The sequence below is a fragment of the Homo sapiens genome, chromosome 2 (assembly GCF_000001405.40).
Source record: "Homo sapiens chromosome 2, GRCh38.p14 Primary Assembly".
NCBI lineage: Eukaryota > Metazoa > Chordata > Mammalia > Primates > Hominidae > Homo > Homo sapiens.
The window spans coordinates 237,626,999-237,646,278 of record NC_000002.12 but is presented as its reverse complement, the minus strand read 5'-3'; the positions used below and the strand labels follow the sequence as shown (position 1 = coordinate 237,646,278).

General features: G+C 49.3%; 1 protein-coding gene across 29 annotated transcripts in view, besides 2 other annotated features; it reads right to left on the bottom strand.

Annotated features, from left to right (window-relative positions):
* LRRFIP1 (LRR binding FLII interacting protein 1) overlaps positions 1-18,692 on the bottom strand; it is a 154,057-nt gene extending 135,365 nt beyond the window's left edge. For all 29 annotated transcript variants that reach the window (NM_001137550.2, XM_017005257.3, XM_017005260.3 and 26 more), the window contains exon 1: positions 18,539-18,692. In NM_001137550.2, coding sequence (NP_001131022.1) covers positions 18,539-18,634 — 96 coding nt within the window. In that variant the 5' untranslated portion in view covers positions 18,635-18,692. The remainder of the gene's footprint in view (positions 1-18,538) is intronic.
* Positions 14,222-14,783: an enhancer, noted in NCBI's record as "H3K4me1 hESC enhancer chr2:238540139-238540700 (GRCh37/hg19 assembly coordinates)". NCBI's record gives its function as "activates a minimal SCP1, AML or CMV promoter by ChIP-STARR-seq in naive and primed H9 embryonic stem cells {active_cell/tissue: H9 hESC(naive and primed)}" and the evidence as "EXISTENCE:reporter gene assay evidence [ECO:0000049][PMID:30033119]".
* Positions 14,786-15,285: an enhancer, noted in NCBI's record as "H3K4me1 hESC enhancer chr2:238539637-238540136 (GRCh37/hg19 assembly coordinates)". NCBI's record gives its function as "activates a minimal SCP1, AML or CMV promoter by ChIP-STARR-seq in primed H9 embryonic stem cells {active_cell/tissue: H9 hESC(primed)}" and the evidence as "EXISTENCE:reporter gene assay evidence [ECO:0000049][PMID:30033119]".
* Positions 18,693-19,280: the final 588 nt, after the last annotated feature.

Below are 19,280 nucleotides of genomic sequence, written 5' to 3'. Positions count from 1 at the left end.
GCCTGAACTTAAAATAAAAGTTGAAGAAAAAAATGTAATACATATATATTTTTTTTTAAAAATGAAAGGAGGAAAATAGCTAGTAAATTTCCATCTTCCCTAATGACAATAATTGTTCCTGCGAACTAATCAGAATATCGATGTTTATGTTTTAAATAAATATGTTAAAAATTTACAAAGAAGTAAAATGAAAAGGGCTTAGACACATGGTGCATATTAACTCCTTCGCTGCTGCTACCACGGGCTCTGTTGTTGTCTGTTGTTATCCAGAGTCCCCACGGCGAGGAACAGAGCTAAGGAAAAGAAAAAAGTTAACTGTCTCACAGGAGTGGAGAAGCAGGCCAGAGCTTAGGGACCAGTCCATTTGCAGCGCTCCCTAGAACCCAGTGGACAGGGCTTTGTAAAGATTTAGTGTTGATATTTTCTAGGGAAAGGTCACCCTTCTCTGCAATCCAGATGTTTCATCTTTCTTAGTCTGCTCTGCATTTCTTTGATCTTTCTCACATTCCATTGCTCACCCTTGTTTAAGATAATTTCTAAAAGGGAATAACTGAGTACATCATGAAGAGTGACATTGAGTTAGGATGAAGAAAGTTGTTACTCTTTCCACCCATCATAAAACCTTCATTCAAGTATTTAGCCACCACACCTCCCAAAAGAAGACAAAGTTAACAGAATTATCTCCCAAGCATATCTTGTTTTCATCCATGTCAGGGTCCGGAGTACAGAGAGAGCTCCTGCTGGAGCAGCTGCCCCTGGCACCTCCTTTGTCACTGCTGGCTTTGGCGGTGGCAAGTCGGAGGAGAGGGGAACGGTGAGGGGTAGGAAGGTGTCGGAGTCCATGTCCCCAGCAGTGAGCAGACCACTCAAAGGTGTTTGTGAGACCAGGGCTCAGCAGCATCTTGGCAGTGAGGAGGGAAGGAACACAGCCAGGGGCACGGGGCTGAGCCACGACAACTCCAGGGCTTCCCAGTCCCTGCTCTCAAGTTCACTGGTTGCACCGAATAACCTGCTTTTGATACTCACACTAAAAGAAGAATGACCTATCCATGGATGAATACGTCAGGGTGACACAGGATATCTGCATAGCCTCTGAGTATCTCTCTCCAAATTTACTAATGATGGTGATGGTTCTAACCTCAGGCCCACTAATTCTTTGATCCTCCTCCTGCCAGGATGGGCAGCCTAAGTCCACTTCCCTGGATGTGGGCTGGACCTAGTGACTTGCTTCCAGAGCAGGGAGAGGGAGAAGCAGTAACTTTATAGAGGAGAAACCTGCAGACACCACCTCAGCCTGGTGATCGAGGTCAGCATCCTCAGTAAGAAGCCACATTGGTGCCGTGTGTCCCTGTAGGATGTGAGGGAAAGGGCGCTTCACCTTTGTGCGATTCTTCCCCCAAATCCAAGACTTCAGTCTAATCAGACAAATCCAAATTCTACAAGATACCTAAGAGCTACTCTTCAAAAGCACCAGGTCGGGAAGACAAGTAAATACTGAGAAATCGTCATGGATTGGAGGAGTCCAAGGTGAACTGATGACAAAATGCAATGTGGATCCCAGATGGATCCTAGAACAGAAAAGAGACATTAGTGGGAAAACTGGGAAAATCCTGTTGTCAGTTAAAACAAAGTTGCTGAGAACAGGTTATGTATTCTCTATCATTCTAACTAAGCTTTCCGGTTTCACAAAACGCATCACCAACACTGACTCATTTTTATTTCCAACCTAATTCTCCAGCCTGCCACCCGCCTCTAACCCAAGAACACCAGCGTAACTCTCCTCCAAAGGTTTTCAGTTACTCCTGGGGTGCCCAGGGCTCTTGAGGAGCATGGCGCTTAGGTGAGGTTAAGGTCAGGCAAAGGTGGCTATTTATTGCACCTGGCAGGCTGTGTTAATACACCTAAATTCCTCTGGCCCAATCCCCCTGCCCCAACAGGAAAGCCACACGGAGCATGTTCTACAAACCTTGGTCCAAGTGACTTCAGCCCCTGGGCATGTGCCATTAACCTAGCAGAGTTTTCCTGGACACAATGATTGCCTTTTTAGGGAGTGCGAGCTCATCGCGCCGGCAGTGTGCAATGCAACCCGATCGTGCACACAACGCCCAATGAGGCCAAAGCCCCATCACTAGGATCATTCAGAAGATTTTTTCCAAGTGCATACATTGCAACAAAAGCCAACGGAGAAACACAAGGCAGGAAAAACCATAAAAACAAGGAACTGGAAAGAGGGAAAAACTGTAGGAGTAAACAGGAAAAGGATTTGGTTTCTTGCTTTAATTTTCCCCTCTATATCTTATTACATGAAGGAGGGGTAAGGTCGCAAACCACCCTGGCCAGAGTGAAGGGGAATCAAAAAGAACATTTCTGAGAACCCACACCTGGCCAAATTAAATCCCGCTTCCTTAAACCTTCACTTATATGTAAGCGATTTCTGACAAGCCTTTTCAAATCTTGTTCTAGTTTGAAAACAATCAGAATTTCCAAATGTTATGTGAAGTCAAGCTAAGTCCATTCATTCATTCATTCATTCATTCATTCATCTGTTCCTGTATTCATTCACTCACTCACTTTTCTGCCACTAAACGCTAGTGATCCAGGGTCTGCTGTGTGCCAAGTGCAGACCCACCGGGCTGGGGGCCCTGGCCAGGCTCTCCCCTGGGAGAAGGGAGGGAGGCCTATGAGAGGGAGCAGATCCTCAACTAGCAGCTTCGCCCAGCGGGAAGGTCACAGCAATGGTAACGGTTATGACCGAAGTCATTCACTCCTCAGCCGTCTGAGCAGGAAAAAGCCACCCTCTGCTAATCAGGAACATCAGAGTAAATGGATTCTCCCATCTGTATAGCCAGATACACCAACGGCATCCGTCTACCGAAGGCAGAACTTCTGAAGGCGAGGGTGCGCCAGAATCGTCCGGGGGTGTGTCAGAAGCCCAAATGCCCGGCTCCACCCCCAGAGGTTCTGAGTCAGTAGCACAGGTGGGGCTCAAGACCCAGCATTTCTAGCAAATTCTGGGTGGTGTAGCTCTCCTCCAATTGGAGAGGAAAGCAACAGCGTTGCCAAAAGAGGTGTAGCGAGTGCGCGGCGGCCCTGTGGCCCATGAGCACACTGCTGCATGTTCAGAAGCAGCTACAAACTAGCCTGAAACATCTGAGTGTTTAAGAATTTATTTTAAACCTTTCTGACAATAATATCACCACCATCTCACAGCTGCAAAGCCCTTTAGGCTTTATGTGCATCATCTCAAATGTTGCCTCATCGGGACCTCATGTGAACTCTGTGAGGTTAGCAGGCGGATTTATCCCACCTTATAGAGGAGGTGGTAAAACGGGGGCGGACTTGGCCCTGCAGCCCTTCCTTCCCTCTCCAGGTAGCCTGGAGCTGGTGTATGAGTCCAGACCCTGCAACCTGGAGCCTAGAATCGAAAACCTAGAGTTCAGAACCTGAAGCCTGGAGCCTAGAACCAGGAAATAGGAACCCTTAGCCTAAAACCTGGGGCCTGGCAACTGAAACCCTTAGCCTGGGACCTGGAACCTGAAACCCCTAGCCTGGAACCTGGAACTGGAAGCCTGGAGCCTGGAACCTGGAACCAAAACCCTTAGCCTAGTACCTGAAACATGGAACCTAGAACCTGAAGCCTGGAGTCTGGAACCTAGAACTGGGAGGCCTTATCCCAGAGCCTGAAACCTGGAACTGGGAACCCTTAACCTAGAACCTGGAGCCTGGAGCCTGGAACCTGGAACCTGAAACCCTTAGCCTGGAACCCGGAACCTGAAACCCTTAGCCTGGAACCCGGAACCTGAAACCCTCAGCCTGGAACCTGGAGCCTGGAGCCTGGAACCCGGAAGCTGAAACCCTTAGCCTGGAACCTGGAGCCTGGAACCCAGAACCAAAACCCTCAGCCTAGAACCTGGGACTGGGAACCTGAGGCCTAGAGCCTGGAACCAGGCGTGCAGCCTAGAACCTGGAGTGAAGCTGGGGACAGAAGCCAGGCCTCGGCCTCTGAGTCTGAAAGTCTTTGAGCACAGGTGGCAGACAGCAGCAACTGCACACACGCGGTCCTTGGCCAGCATGATTCCCTGAAGGCCCATCCTAAGCCTCGTGTCTGCATTGCCTCATAGACTCCTCACAGCCACCCAGTATCGCCTCCCCTTGCCAGGTGGAAACACTGAGACTCAGAGATGCTTGTCGCTTGTCTGAGGAGGTCGCCTGGCCGCAGCACCCAATGCTGACCCTCTACACCACACTCTCCCTGGGTACCCCAAAGATTCTCTCATGGGTGTGCGAAGTGTCTCCAGTCATGGGAGTTAGGAGGAAAACTTCACACCAACAGAAACCTGAACTCTGCAAGGGCCCAAGAAAGGAAGCACACAGCCATCTAAGACGACGCCCTGGAAGTCCTCCCAAGTGTCAGGAGTATCCTTATCTGAAATAACTCAAAAAATTTAAAAGCAAGACACAAAACTGTACAATATATTGTGCATGTTATATGTTATTTTCACCTGGTATACTTTAACATATTTTTAAAAATCATATTTAAAAAAACAAGCTATTGGTAATACAGAGTGCAACCTGTGGATCTGCAAGGCAGTCCTCCCACCACACGTATATTCAGTATAATTTATTAACTATCATGTTCTATATAGGGAAAAATTGGAAAAGATATTTAGGAAAGAAAAATAGATTGAAATTTTAACACCAATCACAAAAACAGAAATCCAAGGAGAAAAGATTGACTAAGTCTTAAACCAAAAGGAACACAATTTTTTTTTTTTTTTTTTTGAGACAGAGTCTTACTCTGTTGCCCAGGCTGGAGTGCAATGGCACAATCTCAGCTCATTGCAACCTCTACCTCCTGGGTTCAAGCGATTCTCCTGCCTCAGCCTCCTGAGGCACCTGCCAACATGCCTGGCTAATTTTTGTACTTTTAGTAGAGATGGGGTTTCACCATGTTGGCCAGGCTAGTCTTGAACTCCTAACCTCAGGTGACTCGGTTGCCTTGGCCTCCCAAAGTGCTGGGATTACAGTTGTAAGCCACTGCACCTGGCCTTTTTTTTTTTTTTTTAATAGAGATGGGTTCTTGTTATGTTGCCCAGGCTGTTCTCAAACTCCTAGGTTCAAGCAATCCTCCTGCCTCAGCCTCCCAAAGTGCTGGGAGGAATACCATTTTTTAAAAGAATATTATTGATGAAACCAAACAGAATATTAAAGCTGAATTTTCAATTAGTGAGAGGGACAGTGTATGTGGGTGTTTTCCTTTGCAAATTGTACATAAAAACAGAAGCAAGAGGTAGAAACCACAGAGGTGAATATGCTGGAACATTCACATGGTTAATGGTCCCTTCCTGTCCCATCCCAGCAGGCTGAGATGCACGCCTTTTGGCCAAGCGAAAAGAGAGGCCAGGGGTTGGAAGGGGGAGTCTTTGGATAGAGACTGCAGGTTCTCGGGCTTCTCTCGCTGGGAACAGGAGTGGAGGGGCGGGGGCCACACAGTACTTTCTGGAGATCAGTTGAGAGGTGATGAGGAGAGTATCGTGCAGAGAGCTGCGGAGGCCCAGGGCTGAGGCAGCAGGGATTCCGAACAAGACAATGATCTGGTCATCTATTTTAAGAAGTTCGGCAATGTGCTTTTACGGGAGATATGGGGACGGTTTTAATCCTGTGGAAATGTGGCAGTCACTGACCTTTCTGTTGTCCAACATCCAGTCCCCCTTCTCATCTGGGGGGTGGTCCTGGGGGGTGAAGGACGACTGGGTCTCCAGCCCCACCTCCACAGGTGAGACTAAAGTTGAGGGTCTTCCCTGTCCCTTCTCCTGCAGCCACACCTGGATTTTGAGTAATCTGAAGATGCAGACAAGAGGTGTGCGCTGAATGTGCCGGCACCTAGATCTTGGACTTCCTGCCTCCAGAACAGGGAGAGATCAACTTCCATGCTAAAGCCCCCAGTCTGTGGTATCTTGTTATAGACGGTCCCCAGCCCCACTGTCAGCTCAAGCACACTTCCAAAGCCAGCAAAGTGTAATCACATTGGCAGCTCGTGTCTCCATTCCCTGAGCCTGCAGCCGACTTCTAAAATGGCCCCATCTCAGCTTCCAGGGTATGTGGCCCCCTCTGTACTAATTTCCAGGAGGTTTAAATGCAGGAAACGCCAAGAATGTAATGTGGTCAGCTAGGGCTTTTTACCCTCCTTGCAGGAGGGCAAACAGTCGTAGTCACTGTCAGACTCAGAGTTCTCTAGCTGAGGGGAGTGGTTCAGAGCTCAAGGTACAAACCCAGCAGTGTGGCAGGGGAAACCTGACACAGAGATCCTCAGTTGGGTATCTTGTTCCCCATGGGCCATTTGACAATGTCTGGAAGCATGTTTGGTGGTCACAGCTGGGAATAGCGAGGAGCTCCTGGCGCCTACTGGGCAGAAGCCAGGGATGCCGTTCAAAATCCTATAATGCATAGGACAGCGCCCCCCAGGACAGAGAATTACCCAGCCCTAAATGCCAGTAGTGCCCAGATTGAGAAACCCTAACACAAGACAAAAGAAAGAAAAAACTTCAGATGTTGAAATGAAGAGTTGGAAGACCATGTGGTCATCACCTCATCTCAACTCATGTGGCAATTCCTCTGGAGCCGGCTCCAGGCATTGGTTAAAAATAGGCGGGTAATTTAGTAGCTTCTAAGAGGTCAGATAAGCCCAAAGATAAACCGTGCAGAACAAGGCTGGGGTGAAGTGGCCCATTATTTCTGGGAAGCCAACCAAAGACCTGGGCACCAAGGCTAGGTTGCTTGATGGTGAAGCAGCTTGAAAAATCTGATGGTACCTTACTGTTGATGCTTGAATTCAAGACCAAGAAGTAAAAGTGACACTGGCTGTCTCAATGCCAAGAATGGTAACATGCTTCAAACTTATAAGAAGTCCCCAGGGACGCTGACACTAAAGACACACATATTTACAGCGACAGCCATTCGCGCTTTTATTCTGAGTTCATTTCATCAGTCCCAAGGGCCGTCTGTGTCCCTCTTGGGCATGGGAGATCATCTTTCCTATATTTTTCTCACAAGCTCCACCCAACCCCCATCTCAGCCCTGGGGCACATCCCAACCAGTCAAGAAGCACAACTGCCTCCTTCTAGAGCTAACCACAGCCACCTGAAGGTAGCAAACGACCACCACCATTTAATTGCCACCTACCAGGTGCCAGGCAGCACGCCCTGCAGCCTGTGGGCTCTAGCTCTTTACCATGACTGCCCCACACGATAGCATTCCTCTTTCTCGGATAAAAAAAAGAAGACTGGGCTGCATTCACTTGCCTACGGTCACACAACTTAAAAAGGCTGACCCACAGGTCTCTGAGGCCACAGCCCCACAAAGGTTCCAACCTGCAATAGATCAGTCCATCGATCAGTCCAGTCTACCTGCATTGGTCATGAGTGGTATGCAGCCCCATGTGTAAGCAGTCAATAAATATCCCACATTGCAGAACATACCTCTATTGCAATGTATTTCCACAAGGGAATTGCTCTGGAGCTACACTGGTCGACACGGCAGCCCCAAGACTTCCATGGCTATTTACCTTTAAATGCACTGTGGTAAAGTTAATTTGACATGCAGATCCTCAACTGTACTAACCGCATTTCAAGTGCTCAGTAATTACAGAGGGCTAGTGGCTACCACAGTGCACTGCACAGACACAGAGCACAGAGTCCTATAGACAGCACAGCTTTGGGTGATTTAAAAATATGCTGGGGGTAATTTAAAGCAATATCTTAGGGCAGAGGTCCCCTACCCCTGGGGCACAGACTGGTACCAGTCCATGGCCTGTTAGGAACTGGGACACACAGCAGGAGGTGAGCGGCAGGCGGGTGAGTGAGCGAAGCTTCATCTGTATTTACAGCCACTCCCTATCACTCGCATTCCCACTTGAGCTCCACCTCTTGTCAGATGAGCAGCAGCATTAGATTCTCTTAAGAGTGCGAAACCTATTGTGAACTGCGCATATGAGGGATCTAGGTTGTGCGCTCCTTATGAGAATCTAATTCCTGATGATCTGTCACTGTCTCCCATCACCCCCAGATGGGACCGTGTAGTTGCAGGAAAATAAGCTCTTGGCTCCCACTGATTCTACATTATGGTGAATTGTATAATTATTTCATTATATATTACAGTGTAACAATAATAGAAACAAAGTGCACAATAAATGTAATGTGCTGGAATCATCTCAAAACCATCCCCACACCCTGGTCTGTGGAAAAGTTGTCTTCCACAAAACTGGTCCCTGGTGCCAAAAAGATTGGGGGCTGCTGTCTTAGGGAAGACAGGGTAGAGCCATGCTAGCTGTTTGGTCAGCATGGAAACCACGATGAGTGTCAACCTGGAAAACCCCACATCTTCCCAGATGCCTAAGGAATGTCATCAAAGAAAGTGAAAAATAAAAATGAAAGAAATCAAGGACAATGAGGGCAAAATTGATAAACCTACATGATGGAGGTTAAAAATACATGAACAACTTTAGATCTCCTGATTTCTTTATGTTTAAATATGATCATGACCACTATGTGATTTTTCATTCACTCCCCAAGCCAAGAGTGGATGGAGAGTTTGTAATATAATATGCCAGTGGAGGCTCTGAACAGATCTGGCTCTCAGAGACTTGCTGATCCAAGAGTTTACCTGCTGCCAAGGCCATATCACATTCTGCCTACCTAAACTCTCCAGGTATTTTATTTGTTTTATGGAAAGTATATCTCAGATCTTAGAGAACTTTCCAAGCAAATAAATGAATTATTCCTTTGCTTTTTGTCTTCTTCTTTTTCTCTTTTTGAGATGGAGTCTCGCTCTGCTGCCCAGGATGGCGTGCAGTGGTGTGATCTTGGCTCACTGCAACCTCTGCCTCCTGGGTTCAAGCAATTCTCCTGCCTCAGCCCCCCGAGTAGCTGAGACTACAGGTGCAAGCCACCACATCTGGCTAATTTCTGTATTTTTAGTAGAGATGGGGTTTCACCATATTGGTTAGGCTGGTCTCAAACATCTGACCTCAGGTGATCCACCCGCCTTGGTCTCCCAAAGTGCTGGGATTACAGGCACAAGACACCATGCCCAGCCCAATTCTTGATGCCTGAAGCTATGAAAATCTCATATTTTTTTGTTTTACTATCTTTATTTGCTCAGCTAATTTGACATTTTATTTCGCTCTCAGTAAAAGAATACCATAATGATGGGTTCCTTTGTTTGAGCTGTGTAGACACTAGAGGTTAGCCGTTCTTCCCTGGTGTATGTCTCAGATTAATTTTCAACTTTCTTTTCCAGCCTTACTAGTCCCTTAATCAAAAACAAAACTCCACCTGCAGGCACCAAATTAGAGAAGTCTGACTGGTTAACATTAAGCAATGTTTCCTCCTAACACTGACATGGTGGTCAAGGGCACTGGCCTCAAAGGCAAGAGACTGGGTTCAAATCAGAGCTGCTTGCCCCTGCCTGAGGAACCACTGTCTGGTACCAACACTTCAGCCGCCCTGTGTGGCTTCCTGTTCACACTTTGTGACATCTCTCTTCCTGGCCTTTGCTCAAATTGTAGTCACCATGTTTAGTGCCTCCCTCTAAAATATGAAAGGGTAGCTGAGGATCACCACACATCTGAGAAAGGCTCCAAGATGACAGAGGCCAAAACACACAAAGGAGGAAAAGAAACAGACCAGGATGCAGGGAACAAAAAAATTTTCAGGAAAACCCCCAAATTAAGTGAATTTGCTTAATATCCTTAGAGTAGTAAGAAAAGGTACTGCATTAGTGAGTCAAGAAAGGATGCTATAGAGATAAAGAACAATAAAAAAACTTAGCAATTCAATATAAAACAGGTAAACTTAGTAGAGGGAGTGGATGGTAAAGTTGAAGAATCTTCCTTGAAGTATTACCAAAAGACAAAAAAAAAAAAAAAAGAAAAGAAAGGAAAATGAAAAATTACTTCTTTTTCTGTTCTGTCTTACAGAAATTACTGTAAGACAGAACAGAAAAAATGATGGGGCTAGGAAAAAATTCAAGAAAATTTCCCAGAATTTTAGGATACAAGTTTCCAGATTGAATGAACCCAATGAATGCTCAATAAGTGGGGGAAAAATCCAGAATTCTGAGAATAAAGAGAAGATCCTAAAAGTTTCCAAACTTTTTCTTTTAAATTTTTTTTTTTTTTTTTTGAGACAGAGTTTTGCTCTGTCAACCCAGGCTGGAGTGCAGGGGTGTGATCTCAGCTCACTGCAACCTCTGTCCCCTGGGCTCAAGTGATCCTCCCACCTCAGCCTCCCAACTAGCTGGGACCATAGGCACAAGCCATCATGCTTGGCTAATTTTTGTATTTTTAGTACAGAAGGGATTTCACCATGTTGCCCAGACTGGTCTCAAACTCCTGAGCTCAAGTGATCCACTCACTGCCCTCCCAAATTGTTGGAATTACAGGTATGAGCCACCACACCCACTCACTTTTTCTTTTCTTTTTTGTGGAGATGGGGGTCTCACTATGTTGCCCAGGCTGGTCTTGAACTCCTGGGCTTAAGCGATGCTCCTGCCTCAGATTCCCAAATAGCTAGGACTACAGGCATGCATCACCATGCCCAGCTAAATAAAAAAAATATATTTTTAAAGGAAGGGTCCTACTTTGTTGCCCAAGCTGGACTTGAACTCTTGGTCCTAAGCTATTCTTTCACCTTAGCCTCCTGAGTTGCTGGAATTACAGGTGTGAGCCATAATGCCTGGCTCCTAATTTTACTTTTTTGATATTTATTAGTTTATTTTATTGACTAGTTAATACAGTCACATGGTTCAAATATCAAGAGCATGAAGAGTGGCACTTGACAACCTGCTTCCACCTCCATCCCCACACTCCTTTCATTGTGTTCTGCCAGTGATTTTTATTCAAATGCAGGAAAATTGCAGCCTTTCTCACACAAGGAACAGCATGCTATCTTTATTTTCTGTATATTACTTTTTCCAATTAACAATACTTACTGGAAATTATGTCAAAGAAGACACAGAGTTCATCATTTTTTGGAAAATTATTTTTAACCTAGAACTCTATACACAACCAAAGTATCAATCAAGTATGAATGTAGAATAAAGACATTTTCAGACATGTGAATACTTAGAAAAGGCATTCTTGCTCCGAAAGCTACTGAAGGATGTGTTCCAGCAAAATAAGACAGCAATCCAAGAAGGCAGATAATATGGAATCCAGAAAATAGGGACCTAACAACAACAATAAAAAGGGGGTAAAAGAAATTCTCAGAATGGTGGCAGAGGGAATGGCAGGTGCAGGAAACCCTGAGGAGAACATCCAGACCAGACTGGATCTAGAGGACAGAGGTCTCTAGTGGGTAGATTTCCATGGGAGAATAAAATGGAATTGATAGATTATCTGCTTTGTTTAATCATATAGAACATAGCATTTTGATGGGTTCTATTGAAAACTTTATGGAGATATGTAGATATATAGATAGATAAGCTAGATATGTAGGCAGATGAGCAATGAAAAAGAAAATAAATCATTAACTCTAGAAGAAGCAGAAAGTTGTATAAGGAAAGAAAGATTATAGTACACTGCTTGGCTCTGCAATTGACATTATTTACACAGCTGGCAAGATCATCATCATCACCAGCATTTACTGAGCATTTACTATGTGACAGTCATTGTTCAGAGGTCTTTTTGTGAAAGATCTCATTTACCCTCATAACTGCCCTGGGTGAAGTATACTCCTAAAACTTTCCCATCTTACCTATGGGGGAACTGAGGCACAAAGTTGATAAGTAACTTGCCCTAAGTCATGGTATAAGGGACAGAATCAGGATTTGAACCCAGGAAATCTGATTCTAGCACCCATATTCTTAAGCAGTCTGTCCTGCCAGTGAATATTCATTTAGCCCCACACTACAATGAACTATAGTGTGATGCAGAGAAGGAAAGTAGGGAGCTGGCCTGAACTGGGCCCATGCACACCAAGTCCCGTCCTTCAATGCAGGAGCCAGCTGACAGCATCTGCAATTGATAAACTAATGTGTAATACATATGTATGTTATTTATAAACAAGGAGATCATTACCAGATCATTGAGGGTCTTGTAGCTTGTTTAAGGACTTGGGTTTTACGGAGTGATACAAGACACCCTTGGAAAGTTTTTATCAGAGAAGTGGCATGATCTGACATATTTTAAAAGGACTGCCCAGCCTACTGTGTGGGGAACGGCCTGAGAATATGGGTAAAAACATATATTACTCTGATGAAATAAAAATCAATTTTTTAAAGATGAAAGGATGGAAAAAGAAGATGAGAGATACAGTAAGGCAGAGACAGATATGGGACTCTCTCTCCTGAAATGTCACCCCTGGTGGTTCACAGGTCAGTGGGGGACGACATGTGCCAGGGATAGGAAGAAGGTGGCTTGCCTGCAGGACATAGCCTGAATGGGGTCTTGGAGGGAGCTGAGGGGCTGATCCAGGAAGCAGCCTGGGCCATGAACTGGCAGCCCCTAATTAATAGGTGGCCTCAGCCATGTCCCATGGTGTCTCTGAGTCTGTTTTCTCTCTGTCAAACAGAGAGACTCGGAACTCTTTTCACAGGATTTAAACAAACTATGGGAGTAAAGCTTCCAGAGTACCTGGCACACCTTGGGTCTTAGAAGCAACCTCCATTCGCCCCTCTCTCCTTTCCCGTCTCACACTCACTGGGGACGGGCAGGGCTCACGGGGGACAGGCAGGGCTAGAAGCCAGGTCATGTTCTCCACACACACATCCCAACCCTGAGTACCAGGCCAACGAGTGGCTCAAGAGTCACCCAGAAAAGGAAGAAGGGAGACAGCTGGCCCTCTGACAGAAATAGCTGTGGGGTGGGGCCCAGGGCCGTTGGGGACCAGCAGGCCTGTCCACAGCTGAGTTTTCTGTGGACTCAGAAACCCAGAAGCATCTTTTGGGAATCGCACAAACAGCCCAAGGTCACAGGCACATTGTTCACGCCCTCCAACAGCTCAGACTGTTGGTAAAAATCCGTCTGGAACACCAGTCTTGTCACATTCCTAAAACCTTGTAGACGATCTGCCAAGATGGGTGTTTGGCTTAGGAGAATCAGCTGCAGAACAGCCCTCAGTGACTCCACTGCGGCTGGGTTCCAACTGGAGGCAGGATGTTGTTCAGGCTGGACAGTCCTGTGTCCTGCCGGGCACTGAACGCCCCTCACCTCTCCCAACTCCTGTGGAACAAAGGGGCAGGGCCCAGCCCCAATGGCAAACCAGTGTCCAGCAGCACTCAGTTGGTGTGCAATCTGCTGGCCAGCCTCAGAAAAGCAAATTCATAGAGAAAAAAGTCATGAAATTCACTTTCAAATCAAGTGAAATAGGCCTAGGGACAAGTCTGACATCTTGGTTGCGTGCAGGTGAATTCTGGCCCCAGGGTCACCTCACCAGAGGGCAAGGGACTGCATTGGGGACCCAGATTTGCATCTTTGCAGCTGGGCTCAGTCCTGGACTCTCCACCCCAGAGGAGCCAGGTCAGGTTAGTGCTGGAGAGAGGTAGAGCGAAGTTTCCACACTGAACCCCACTTCTGGGCTGTTCTGGAAAAGAACACGTGCACCCCATCCCCAGCTTGGTTCTCCAACAGCCTTGAGGAGAAGAGAGACAGGCTCCCTCCGCACAGGTTGATATAGGAGGGCTATTTGGGAAGGACAGGGAGAAAAGATGAATGAAAGGGGGACTTAGGATGAAAAGACCCGATATTTACGAACTACCTGAAACAAGGGGCATGGCTTTATGTTGGGTTCCAGAAGCAGAGCCCATGGCAGGACTGGATGTGAGCCCTGTCCCAGCAGGGGCATGAGGGGGGCAGGCCAGTCAGGGAAGGGCTGGGGAGGGAGGTGGTCTCGGCAGGAGTTGGCCTCAGCCTGGCCCGCAGAGAGCTCCGGAGCAGGAAACGTACCACAGAATTGGTTGCATCTTGAAACAAGCCTGGGGGACATTTTGTGACCTCACAAAATGGTTACTTGATGGCTGCAGGCTGCCTTGGGGGCAATGCAACCCCTTCTCCACAACTGGAGTCCTTGGGGGCTGTGTGACCCCTTCTCCACAACTGGACTCCTTGGGGGCAGTGTGACCCCTTCTCCACAACTGGACTCCTTGGGGGCAGTGCGACCCCTTCTCCGCAACTGGACTCCTGTGTGGCCGTGGCTCAAGTGAAAGGCGGTGGCTGTGAGGCCTGAACCAACAGCACCCGCAGGCCCACGAGTCAACTTGGGGCCGGTGAAGCAGCCGGGTGGGGCAGCAGTGCCCCTGCCATGGATCAGGGCCCGAGGCCGCAGGCCACAGAGGGGCCAGCTTGGAGAGGAGGCTGCAGAAACAGTTATGGGGGGAGGGCCTCCGTCCTGCTGGGTGAGGAAGGGGTACCTATGGCACCACCAGGGGATAATAAGCTCACCGCACTGTCTCAAGGCCCCACGGTGAGTTCCTAATGCAGCCTGCGCAAATGACTGTTCCTGTTGGGAAAAACATTCTTCATTTGAGAGCAATACTTTGAATTGCATGGTGAGACCAGTATCGCTTTACTCAGCTGCAGAGTGCTGAATGAGAAGTTTGGGATGCTACCAAAATGCACCAGTAGAATGTGAAATGCGGTAGGAGAGGAAAATCTATCTGCGTTGGAAACACCCCTCCCCAGAAGTGGGAGGCGCAGCTCATGCCTTTGGTGCTAATGAGCTTCTGCAAGTGCGTACTAAACCTTTCTCCTGATAACATCCCGCCTGAATTCCACTGCAACAAGAGAGTGAGAAATAATTGACTTGCGATAATACAGCATTTGCAAATAACTCCCTTTACTATACACGCTTGCCTAGAGTTTAAACCATCACATGGAAGCAGGACACCGGCTGCAGAAGCAGAAATGCACCCTCCAAAGGCTGCCCCCACCACGAGTCCTGCTTCTACCCAGAAGAGTGCAAAGCCCTGCCTGCACAGGGCAGCCTAGCTCTTCCCCTCGCTCCAGCGAACTGGAACCCACGTCCCTGCCAGGTGACTCAGGCTTCCCAATGACCTCAGCCCAGAATTTTCCACTTACTCTCCAGAAGGCATGTTCTTGGGTGCCAGGCCCAAGTGGCAGCCCACTCCCTCCCACTTCCTTGAAGCCTCCCCAGTTTCCATTCAGGCCCCCACCTTCCCAAGTGTTTCAGGGAGGCCGGCTCTCCCCAGTCCCAGGATGAGTCTGACAGGTCACAGGGTAGACCCACCCCCCTTTGCCACAGGCACTGAGCCCCTAAGTCCATGGTCCTTGTCAAAGAGCTTGGTGCAGGAGTGGCCAGACAGACTCATGAAAGTTTACCAGGGAGATACTGCTAGCTCTCTGGAGAGAGCCACCAGAAGAGACGGTGTGTGGGCTCCACAGTGGCAGCCCGGGAAAGCCAAGGCCAGCTGGCCTCCATGAAGCAAGTCAGCCTGAGGATGAGGCCACCCACAGAGGATGGCCCAGCCCAACCAGCTGCGCAGGTGCTGTGGGAAAAAGAGGCCGGAGCCACTGGTGAGGCTGGCGGGGAATCCTGCCCTGCCTCCGGGCTTGCTGTGCTCCAGCCAATATACTTCCCCTTGTCAATGTCAGTCCAGTCAGGGTTTCTGTCCCAGCAGCCAAAGCATCTTGACTGGTACATACAGCCTTCAAGAACTCAAAATGCCACTTCCTCCAGGAAGCCACTTCTGAGACCACTGGCCGGCTGTGATTCTCTCTCATGTCCAAACCTTCAGAACACTGTCTACGCCCTTTTTATATCAGATCCCTTCCTGTCTTCGGTTAGCATTATTGATCTACAGGTGTCAACCCCTTTCTGACCCAACTCCTGGAGGGCAGGCAGGTCCTCGCCGGGTTCCTCCCTGACTCTCCAGTCTCCCCAGGACAGGAATTTGGATACCATGGCTTGTATCTGTTGAGTCAATGAGTGAATAAGAAAGTACTGAACCCAAGACGATTTTGTTGATTTCTATAAGAACCCTGATGAATTCAAGGAGTAGATATTTGCCATTTGAATAGTGATTTTCATTTTCACAGTTGAGAAATAGAAGTTAATTTGTACTAAAACATAAGATGTCACACCTGCTCCCTCCAACCCTATCAATCTGTGCTACTCAGCACTAGTAACAGCTGCACCTACGGCTGGGTTTTACCGGGAGGGGCGTGTAAGAAGCTCTCATATTTACCCACCGCCTAGTTACATACTTTACATTGCTACCCACTTTCTTTAATTCTGACAGCCAGGGGAGGTTTCTTCTTCTCCATTTTAGAGACGAGAAAACAGAGGCCCAGAGAAGAGTGAGTAACTCACCTTCCTAGGATGGCACAGCTGGCTAAGAACTATGTCATTTGAAAGCCCAGCTCTGACTCACAAGTCTATCTCTGTAACTCCAACTGCATCTCCCTCGGTGGGAGGGAGGACCTCAGGGCTCTCAACCCAAGGAGTGTTCCCTTGCCTTCCTTTTCAATCTATTTTATAAAAACCAGCAGATAGGCTGGGCGCAGTGGCTTACGCCTGTAATCCCAGCACTTTGAGAGGCCAAGGCGGGAAGATCACTTGAGGCCAGGAGTTTGAGACCAGCCTGGCCAACACGGTGAAACCCCGTCTCTATTAAAAATACAAAAATTAGCCGGGTGTGGTGGTGCGTGCCTGTAATCCCAGCTACTGGTGAGGCTGAGGCAGGAGGATCTCTTGAGCCTGGGAGGTGGAGGTTGCAGTGAGCCGAGATCATACCACTGTACTCCAGCCTGGGCAACAGAGTGAGACTGTGTTAAAAAAAAAAAAAAAAAAAAAAAAGAAGAAAGAAACACCAGTGGATAAAAGGCAAACTCTGGAAATTTTCATTCTTCTCATTCTTCTGCCCCATAACCACTGACATCAAGACAAGGCTTGCGATTCACTGGCCACCTCTGGCCCTTGCAGGGAACACTTGTAAGGCACTGTGGTCAAATGCATACATAAGTGACTGTCTTCACAGGAGGGAGTTATACTCAAGCTACTATATTTAGCAAATGTCTATATTTAGCCAAAGGTCCTTTAAATGCCTTGTACTTCTTTTGTTTATTAATTAATGTAACAGACATAGACAAACACCTAGTATGTGCCTGGCTCTGTGCTGAGCTCTTGGGATACAAAAGTAAGATATTTCCTGTCTGGGTGTCACCTTCTACAGGTGGACAAATAATGATAAGGTATCCTGACTGCCATGCCAGGCGCGGGCATGCCATGGAGGGCCGTGGAGCCAGGGAGACTTAGGCCTGGTGCGATGTGAGAGGGCTGAGTCTGGAAGGTCTCCTGGAGGTCACAGTGGGCTTCCAGGAATGAATAAGGGTTTGCCTGGAAAGCCCTTTTCTGTATCATACAGAGAAAAACAGAAGTCTTTATTCACTCAGTAGTCAACAAATACTGAGTGACTGCCACATGTCCGTAAGAGCAAAATCAGGTATTTACAACTACAAACACCTAAGGATTGGTTACAGAGTAGATCCCCCAGAATATCTGACGGATACAGCCAGACACCACAGTCCAAATGGCTTGGAGGTGTTTCCTGTGGGAAGAATCACATGTGGAAAAGCCAACACGGAAAAGAACCTGTAAGGCGGGTTACAAGGCAGAGACTTTCTTTGCATTCATACACCCACCTGGCACACAGTTCAAATGGTACAAAGGGAACACAGTCAAAAATTAAGCTTCCTTTGTCCCCCTGGGGCCGCAACCTATTGGCTCCCCTTTTCCCAAGCTGCTGCTCTCTGTCCCTGTACGGCTTTCTGGATGTCATGTACATTCTTTAGCCTTAAGGTAGAATCCTTGCGGAAGGAAAAAAAAAAAGGCATTTGTACAAATACCCATTCTAGTGCGCCTTCAATTTGTCACAGGTAAAGTTCATCACCAAACATGATCTTAGTTACAATAAACTCTGTCCAGGAAACTTTAATGAAGACGTTTCAGTGTGCCTGGACCCGTTTCCAGGCTCAGTCCTGAAAGAAAAATCACAGTGATCCCCAAGTTCATCTCTGAGCTGCACCTTGAGTGACATCGATGGATGGATGACAAATGGTCACCTGAGCGACTCGGCCATTTCAGCAGGGCCATGTGGCCTCCGGCGACCGTCCACTGCCTCCAGGTCGGGCCTAAGCCCCCGCCTCCTCCCATGCCGCACAACAAAGCGGGGCGCTCGCCCCCACCCGGCCAGCCCGGGCCACCTCGCGCGCTGGCGGCGCCCGGCTCCTCTCCCGAGGGCGCAGCGGCCGACGGTGGCCGGGGTGGGGGAGGGCGCGCAGCGTCGCGGGCTGGGCCCGGGGCTGGAGAACGGGTGCGGGGTCCGCAGGCCTCGGAGATCGGGGCCGGGGCGCAGCGCCTGGGGATCAGCGCCCCGGCGCGCGCCTGCCCGGCCCACCCGCCTGGAGCCGGACGCGCAGTGGCACAGACGCACAGCGGGACAGACGGACGCCGGAGAGACCCTGACAGCCGTCCGGCCCCCGCGCCCGCCCGGCGCCCCCCGGCTGCCCTCCCGGAGCGCTCACCTCCCGCGCGATCTGGTTGAGCGCGTCGTCCTCCGCCGTGAGCCGCTCCCGGTTGGGGAGCCGCTTGCGCCCCGATCCCTGGGTGCCCATGTCCATCGACCGCGTCGCCCGCAGCTGCCGCGGGGCCCGTTGCTCCAGCCGCTCGCGCCGCCCCGGCCCGGCCCCGGCCCCGGCCCCTCCCTCCGCCGCGGCGTCATGGCGTCAGCGGGCGCTGGGCCGGGGACGCGGGGACGCGGGGGGACGGGGGCCGCGGGGACCCGGGGGAAGCCAGAGCCGGAGGTCCGCAGCGCGGGCCAGGGACTGCAGGGGCCAGGGACGGCGGGGCGGGGGACGGGGGCGGGGGGCGGAGACGCCAGGTGTCAGGGACGATGGGGGTCCGATACCACGGGGACGCTGCGGATGCCCAGGGCCGGGCACGCGGGACCTGAGGGACCGGGAGCCCCGGAGGGTGGACTTTGCGGGGACTGTTTGGCGGGCCGGTAATCGCGGAGCGACGCGCGCCAGGGCGGTGGGCACCGGTTGAGTGGGGACCTGAGCGGAGAGCGGGGGGGTAGGAAGGCTTTCAGAGGCCTGAGTTGCCTTGAGGGGTTTGCACGGAGGGGTGAGCACAGGATTTGGTTCAGCCTGGCGCTCCCCATTCCGCGGTGAGTCGGGGTGGAAGTCCCTCGCCGGGGTGAGAGCTAGGCTCTGGGGTCAGGCCGAGAGGTGCTCGGATCCGCCCGCCACCGCCGCTCCTGTGACC